Genomic DNA, 9,109 nt, shown 5'->3' with positions numbered 1-9,109 from the left:
TTGTCTGGGGGGAGGGTCATCCGCCATTGCTGAGTCTTGAGTAGGCCATTTTACCTTAGTAGTGTAAATAAAGCCACAGGAAAGTTTGAATTGGTTGGAGCCAACTGCAGCTCAGCAAGGCTGATGTGGCTAGGCTGCCAGATTTCTCCTCTCTGTGCAAGACATTTCTGAAAAAATGATAGAATCCCCAGTCAGGGGCTTATAAATAAAACCCCTGTCTCCCTGGGACAGTACATCTGGGGGAAGGGGCAGCCATGGATGCAGCATCACAGACTTCAACATAACTGCCTGATGGCTGTGAAGAGAGCAGCAGACGTCCTATCACAGTGTTTGAGCTCTGCTAATGGTCAGACTGCCTTCTCAAGTGGATCCATGGCCTCTGTGTATCCTGACTGGGAGACACCTCATACAGGAGAGCACTGGCTGGAATCTGAAGGTGCCCCCTGGGGATGAAGCTTCCAGAGTAAAGAACAGGCAGCCATCAATGAGACAGAAAATTAACAAGGATTTGCAGGACTTGAAATCAGCTGTGGACTAAGTAAAACTAATAGACATCTGCAGAACTATCCACCCCCAATCAACAGAATATACATTCTTCTCGGTGTCACATAACATGTATTCAAAAATTGACCACATAATTGGAAGTAAAACACTCCTCAACAAATGCCAAAGAATGCAAATTATAACAAAGAGCCTTCCAGACCACAGTGCAATCAAATTAGAACCCAGATTAAGAAACTCACTCAAAACCACACAACAACATAGAAATTGAACAGCCTGTTCCTAAATCACTGATGAGTAAATAACAAAATAAGGAAGAAATAAAGATGTTCTTTGATACCAATGATAATGAAAACACAACATATCACCATCTCTGGGACACATTTAAAGCAGTGTGTAGAGAAAAACGGATAGCACTAAATGCCCACAAGAGAAAGCAGGAAAGGTCTAAAATAGATACACTAACGTCAAAATGAAAAGAACTAGTGAAGTAATAGCAAACCAATTCAACAGCTAGCAGAAGACAAGAAATAACTAACATCAGAGCAGAACTAAAGGAGATAGAGACACCAAAAAAAAACTTTCAAAAATCAGTAAATCCACGCACTGTTTTTTTGAGAATATCAACAAAATAGATAGACCACTAGCCAAAGCAATAAAGAAGAAAAGGAGAGAAAAATAAAATAGATGCAATAAAAAGTGATATAGGCAATATCACCACTGATCCCACAGAAATACAAACTACCATCAGATAATTCTATAAACAGCTCTATGCAAATAAACTAGAAAATCTAAAAGAAATGGAGAAATGCCTTGACATATACACCCTCCCAAGTCTACACCAGGAAGACGTTAAATTCATGAATAGACCATTAACAAGTTCTGAAACTGAGGCAGTAACTGAGAGCCTACCAACCAAGAAAATCCTGTACCAGACAGATTCATAGCCGAATTCTACCAGAGATACAAAGAGGAACTGGTACCATTCCTTCTGATATTATTACAAACTAAAAAAAGGAAATCCTCCTTAAATAATTTTATGAGGCCAGCATCATTCTGATGCTAAAACCTGGCAGAGCCTCACCAAAAAAGAAAATTTCAGACCAATATGCCTCATGAACATTGCTGTGAAAATCCTCAATAAAATACTGGCAAACTGAATCCAGCAGCACATCATAAAGCTTATCCACCACGATTACGTCAGCCTTATCCCTGGGATACAAGGCTAGTTCAACATACGCATATCAATAAATGTAACACATCACATAAACAGAACAAACGACAAAAACCACATGATTATCTTCATAGATGCAGAAAAGGCCTTCATCAAAATTCAACACCACTTTATGTAAAATCTCTCAATCAACTAGGTAAGGATGGAACTTATCTCAAAATAATAAGATCTACTTATGGCAAAGCCACCGCCAATATCATAGCGAACGGGCAAAAATTGGAAGCATTCCCTTTGAAAACCTGTACAATGCAAGGATACACTCTGTTGTCACTCTTATTCAAAATTGTATTGAAACTTCTGGCCAGGGCAATCAGGCAAGAGGAAGAAATAAAGGGTATTCAAATCAGAAGAGAGGAAGTCAAATTGTCTCTGTTTGCAGAGGTCATTATTATAAACTTAGAAAACCCGCCATCTCAGGGCAAAATCACCCTGAGCTGGTAAGCACCTTCAGATAAGCCTCAGGATTCAAAATCAATGTGCAAAAATCACAAGCATTCCTACGCACAATAACAGAGAGACAGTGAAATTATGGGTAAACTCCTATTCACAGTTGCTACTAAGTGAATAAAATACCTATGAATAAAACTTACAGGGGATGTGAAGAAACTATTCAAGGAGAACTTCAGACCAATGCTCAAGGAAATAATAGAGGGCATAAAGAAATGAAAAAACCTTCCATGCTCATGGATAGGAAGATCAATATTGTAAAAATGGCCATACTGCCCAAAGTAATTTATAGATTCAATGCTATCCCCATCAAGCTACCAATCACTTTCTTCACAGAATTGGAAAAAAACCTTAAAATTCATATGGAACCAAAAAAGAGCCTGCACAGCCAAGACAATCTTAAGCAAAAAGAACAAAGCTGGAGGCATCACACTACCTGACTTCAAACTATATTACAAGGCTACGGTAACCAAAACAGCACGGTACTTGTACCAAAACAGATATATAGACCAATGGAACAGCACAGTGGCCTCAGAAATAATACGACACATCTACTACCATCTGATCTTTGACAAACCCGAAACAAGCAAGCAATGGGGGAAATATTTTCCCTTTAATGAATGACGTTGAAAAAACTGGCTAGCTATTCAGAAAACTGAAACTGGACCACTTCCTTACACCTTACACAAAAATGAACTCAAGATGGATTAAAGACTTAAACATAAGGATTAAAACCATAAAATACCTCGAAGAAAACCTAGGCAATACCATTCAGGACATAGGGCATGTGCAAAGTCTTCATGTTTAAACACCAAGAGCGATGGCAATAAAAGCCAAAATTGACAAATGGGATCTAATTAAACTAAAGAGCTTCTGCACAGCAAAATAAACTATCAACAACGTGAACAGACAACCTACAGAATGGGTGAAAAATCTTGCAATCTATCTACCTTGAGACAAGGCTAATATCAGGAATCTACAGGGAACTTAAACAAGTTTACAAGAAATAAACAAACAACCTCATCAAACAGTGGGCAAAGGATATGAACAGACACTCCTCAAAAGAAGACTTTGATGCAGCCAACAAACATATGAAAAAATGCTCATTAAATTATCACTCGTTATTAGAGAAACACAAATCCAAACCACAGTGAGATACCCTCTCAAACCAGTTAGAATGGCGATCATTAAAATAGCAGAAAACTGCAGATGCTGCAGACAATGTGGAGAAATAGAAATGCTTTTACAGTGTTGGTGGGTTTGTTAATAATTTAACCCTTGTGGAAGACTAGGATCTAGAACGAGAAATACCATTTGACCCAGCAATCCCCTTACTGCGCATATAACCAAAGGACTATAAATCATTCTACTATAAAGACACATGCACATGTACATTTATCGCATCACTATTCACAGTAGCAAACACTTGGAAACAACCCAAATGTGCATTGATAATAGACTGAATAAAGAAAAGGTGACACATATGCACCATGGGATAGTGTGCAGCCGTAAAAGTGGATGAGTTCATGTCTTTTGCAGGGACATGAAAGAAGGTGGCAAACATCATTCTCAGCAATCTATCAGAAAAATAGTAAACCAAACACCACATGTTCTCATTTTCAAGTGGGAGTTGAACAATGAGAACACATGGACACAGGGAGAAAAACATCACATGGTGGCGGGTGGTGGGATAGTGCGGAGAAAACATTAGGAGAAATACCTAATGTAGGTGATGAGTTGATGGGTGCAGCAAACCACCATGGCATGGTAGTTTGCATTTCTCTAATGGCCAGTGATGATGAGCATTTTTCGTATGTTGGCTGCATAAATGTCTTCTTGTGAGAAGTGTGAACACACACTTTTCAAAGGACATACAGGCAGCCAATAAACTTATTTTTAAAAGCTCGATATTATTGATTATTAAAGAAGTGCAAATCAAAGCAAAAAAAAAAGTGAGATACCATCTCATACCTGTCAGAATGGCTATTATTGTAAAGAAAAGTTATAACAGATGCAGGCGAGGTTACAGAAACCAAGGAAAAATTATGCACTGTTGGTAGGAATGTAAATTAGTTCAACTGTTGGGGAAAGCAGTAGGGCAATTCCTCAAAGACTGGAAAGCAGAACTACTGTTCAACCCAGCATTCCCTTTACTGGATATGTACTCAAAGGAATATAAATCATTATACCATAAAGACACATGAATGCAAATGTTCATGCGGACTATTCCCAACAGAAGACATGGAATTAATCTAAATGCCCATCAGTGATGGTTTGGATTAAAGAAAATGTGGCACATACTCACAAAAAATACTATGCCGCCATAAAAAAGAATACAGTTATGCCTTTGAGGGAACATGGATGGAGCTGGAGGATATTATCTTTAGCAAAGTAATGTAGGAACAGTAAACCAAATACCACATATTTTCACTAGAAGTGGGAGCTAAATGATGACAACTCATGAACACAAAGAAGGGAACAATAGACATGGGACCTACTTGAGGGTGGAGGGTGGGAAAAGAGAGACCAGCAGGAAAAATAATTATTGAGTTCTAGTCTTAATACCTGGGTGATGAAATAATCTGTACAACGAACGTCCATGACAGGAGTTTACCTATATAACAAACCTTCACATGTACGCCTGAAACTAAAATAATAATAAAAAAAGAAACCAAGATAATAGGCAACATTTCCATTTGAATTTCTAAAATGACGGCTTTGAACAGTCTGACCTCTGCTTTTATTTGGTGCCGCAGGCCAGCCAGGTGGGGCGTCGCACGCACGCGGCTGCTTCACCTTGACCATGAGTGTCCTGCAGTTCTTCCGGCTGCTAGCAGGGGACGCAAGAGTCTGCCTTTTCTGACCCTGGGAGTGCAGGTGTTTTCAGCGCATGCTGCTTGAGGGGGAGAGCAGCGTTCTTCTCAGCACAGACCAGAGCAACAACGCCTTGCTGTGGGACAGCTGGAGGGAGTGGTAAATAAAAATTTCCCTCTGACTGCTGAGGATCAGGGACCCAGGAGAAGGGCTTCTTGTGGAAAATTAAACATAAAAATATCCCATGGCTTTAAGTGCACCCCAACGTCCTTCCCCACACACAATTTGTGGTGGCCACAATGCCAGGTCCACACCGTGGCCTCGTGCCACAAATGTATCATTCATCATATAACATCTGTAATAGAAATATAACATCTGTAAACAAATATATCAACCATAATACAGATGTGTCATTCGTAATACTAATGTAACACCTGAAATACTCATCTAACACCCGTATTACCACTGTAACACTCATTAACAGCAATAAAACACTCATAATACCAGTATACCATCTGAAACACAAATATAACAACCGGAATACTTATCTAAGACCCATAATACAAGTGCCAAGCTCATAATACCAATATACAACCCACAATACAAATGAAACATCCATAACACTTGTGTAATAATGCTGTCCTGACACCTGTAATACAACTGTAACACTCATAATACCATTATACCACTCATAATACCATTATATCATCCTGCAATACAAATATAGCAACCGTAATACTGATGTAACAACTGTAATACTGATGTAACACCGGTAATACTAACACCCATAATACTAACACAACATTTGTAATACAAATGAAACAACCATAATATGATGTAACACCCATAATTACTGATGTAACTCTCAACATAAAGATGTAACACCTGCAATGCTGTCATAACATTCCTACTCTTACCAGGGCACTTTTTTTCAGAGCTTCCACTGAGCTGGATTTGGGTTGGATTTGGCCTCTATAATGATGTTTGATGTTGTTGTCTCTGCTTTAGTGACAAGGTATTGACATGGTTGTTTTTATTAAAAAGTAGTTTATTTCTCAATAATTTCATACTTCTAGGAAACTTCCAATAGCTATTAGTATAGAGTAATCCTCTCTCCCAGAATCTCCAGTGGTTTCTGCTGTGCCAGATTTGAAGCTTTATGCAAAATATCCCAGTGGGTTTTACAAAAAGTGGAGACATTCTCCAAGGGTACCACCACATAACTACAACATCGGGAAATACAGGGTTGGTACTGGTAAGGGTAATGGCAAAATATTCACTTACAAACACAAGTTTCATCCTGTCACTCTCCTGATTTAATTTTGCCAATGGTTTCCCACTGACCTTAGAACAAGAACCATAGAACTCACCATAGCTGCAGACCCCAAGTTCTCCTGCCTGTTTCCTGTGCCCACTCAGTCTGCTCAACTACCTGCAGTCTCATCTGATTTTAATTGTGGTAACACAGTGTCTGGAGTGTCTCAGGAATTTTATGTGCTATCTCTCAATCTATTCACCTAGTGCCCACACTTATCTAATTTCCCAAGGCTTTGTCCAGCTAATAAAGTCAGAGCTTGTGCTATTTAACTGTAGAAAAGATAATGATGTGCTGTTTCTAAAGATAAAAAGAAATTCATTATTTGTTAGATAATTGATGAGATCACTCTCAATTTATAAATCAAGGAAATAATAGTTAATGCAATGAAAGTTCATGTTTGGGGAAATTAGTAAATAAAACATCTCAGTGCTGAAGACTAATGACACTATTAATTATTGAAATTACATAAGAATTTATCGGGCAGACTGTTACCTTGCTATCTTCCGTAACCGTGTGTTATTATTTCCAAGTTATGTTAGGTTTAAGTACTTACATGTAACGTAGTCCATCAATACATTTAAGTGACAAAAAAGCCCTAGAACACGACATGACAATTCATATAAATATTTGTAAACCTCCTTAACTGTATAGTGTAAAGTAAATAAAGTAAGCTTAGATATTTAAGCAGATGAATTGTTAATATTTGAATATTGAAATGCTGTGAGGGTATGTAATTATGTCACAGCTTTGATATGAGACTTGGGGCATTTGTGTACCCATGTACCTCATTAACTTAATGACTTCCCTTATTACTTCCTGCTGGATGATAAATTTTGGGCCCATGGAGGCTGAGGGACAAACTATCAGCTCTACTGGAAACTTTAGTCCAGCAAGAAAGTTTTCATTTCAGAATATTATTTCTTGCCAGGTATTTATTTTCTCATCCAAGCAAACTTGCTCCCCAGCAGTATTGTTAACTTAGCTGCTCCTTAAGTCGAGCTGGATAGGACTAATTTTCCCACACGGAATCACATGACTATGAGAAAAGCTTATTTAGGAAACACCTGATGGAGTAAAACTTATATATTTTACTGGTCATCTTTTTATGTGCTTGTATTCCATATGCATGTCTTTTTGGTGAAGTGTGTATTCAACTACTTCTCTGTTTTGTACCTGGATTGTTTGTCTTTTATTTTGTTACTGAGGTATGCAAAGTCTTCATACATTGTCGATAGCAGACTGTTGTTACATACATAAAATGCAAGCCTTCCTTTCTGTACCATGTCTTTTCACTTTCTTGACAGTGTCTTTTGATGCACAAAAATGTTTAATTTTGAGAAAATTCTTTCTTTAGTTGACTGTGCTTTTGGTATCAGATCTAAGAAACCACTGCTAAATCCAACATTATGAAGATCTATCCCCATATATTCTTCTAAAGTTTCTTTTTTTACCTCTAATATGTAGGCTTTGAAACATTTTCTGTTAATTTTATGTTCTGTTGTGAGAAAAGTACAATTTCTTTGTCTGAATGCGGTATTCAGTTGCATAACAGCATTTGTTGAATTTACTGATCTTGGTTACCTGTCAAAAATCAATTGACTATAGAGGTACAGTTGGAATTAACCTTCAGTTCCATTGACCTCTGTGTGTGTCCTTACACCAGTATTATGCTGTTTTGATGACTGCTGCTTAGCAGCAATATTTGTTTTTGTTTTCAAGAATATTTTGGCTATTCAGCATCCCCTGAAATGTATATGAATGTTAGAATTGGCTTGCCCATTTCTGCCAAAAGGACTTTGGTATTTTCATAGAAATCACAATGAATTTGTAGTTTGCTTTGTGCAGTATTGTCACATAAGAATCATCTTCTAATCCAAAAGCACTGAGTATCTTTACGTTTATGAAGGGTTTCTGGAATTTATTTCAGCAGTATTTTGTAATTTTTCATGTCTAATTCTTGCACCTTGATAAAAGTTCGTCTTGAAAACTTTATGATCGTTGGCTTTTTGTTGTTGCTCTTTGAGACAGGGCCTTATTCTTTGGCCCATGTGGGAACGTACTTGTGCAATCATAGCTCACTGCAGCTTCAAACACTTGGGCTTGAGCAATCCTCCCTGCTTGGCCTCCCAAAGTACTGGAATTACAGGTGTAAGCCACAACATTCAGCCTGTTTTGTTGTTGTTGTTGTTGTTTGTTTGTTTGTTTTTGGTTTCTGTTTTGAAAGTTGAAAAGGATAATTTGCTTTATAATCAATGAAAATATAGTACTTTGAATTGGCCAGAAGACATAATGCACAAGAACTCTAAGTTGTATAGTTGACTTATCAACCACCTGGGTAAAGTTCAATTACTTCTTAAAAATTTGTAGCTGTTAACCTTCCCAAATTGTCTTTAAATAAACTCCTTGAATTGTAGTAATAAAAAAATGAGATGACAAGACACATTAAAACAATACTGAAGTTTATCAAAGGACTTAAGGAATTTCAACTCATATCTCTCTTTTTCTTCCTTTCTTTTTTCTTTCTTTCTTTCTCTCTTTCTTTCTCTCTCTCTCCCTTCCTTCCTTCCTTCCTTCCTTCCTTCCTTCCTTCCTTCCTTCCTTCCTTCCTTCCTTCCTTTCCTTCTTTCTTTCTTTCTTTCTTTCTTTCTTTCTTTCTTTCTTTCTTTCTTTCTTTCTTTCTTTCTTTCTTTCTTTCTTTCTTTCTTTGTCTTTCAGACAGGGTCTCACTTTTTGTCAAGTGTGGACTACAATGAGCCATCATGGCTCATTGCAGCCTGCAGCTTCTCACTCCCGGG

This window comes from Homo sapiens, chromosome Y, assembly GCF_000001405.40.
Source record: "Homo sapiens chromosome Y, GRCh38.p14 Primary Assembly".
Lineage (NCBI taxonomy): Eukaryota > Metazoa > Chordata > Mammalia > Primates > Hominidae > Homo > Homo sapiens.
The sequence above is the reverse complement of the archived record's forward strand: the minus strand, read 5'-3'. Positions refer to the sequence as shown.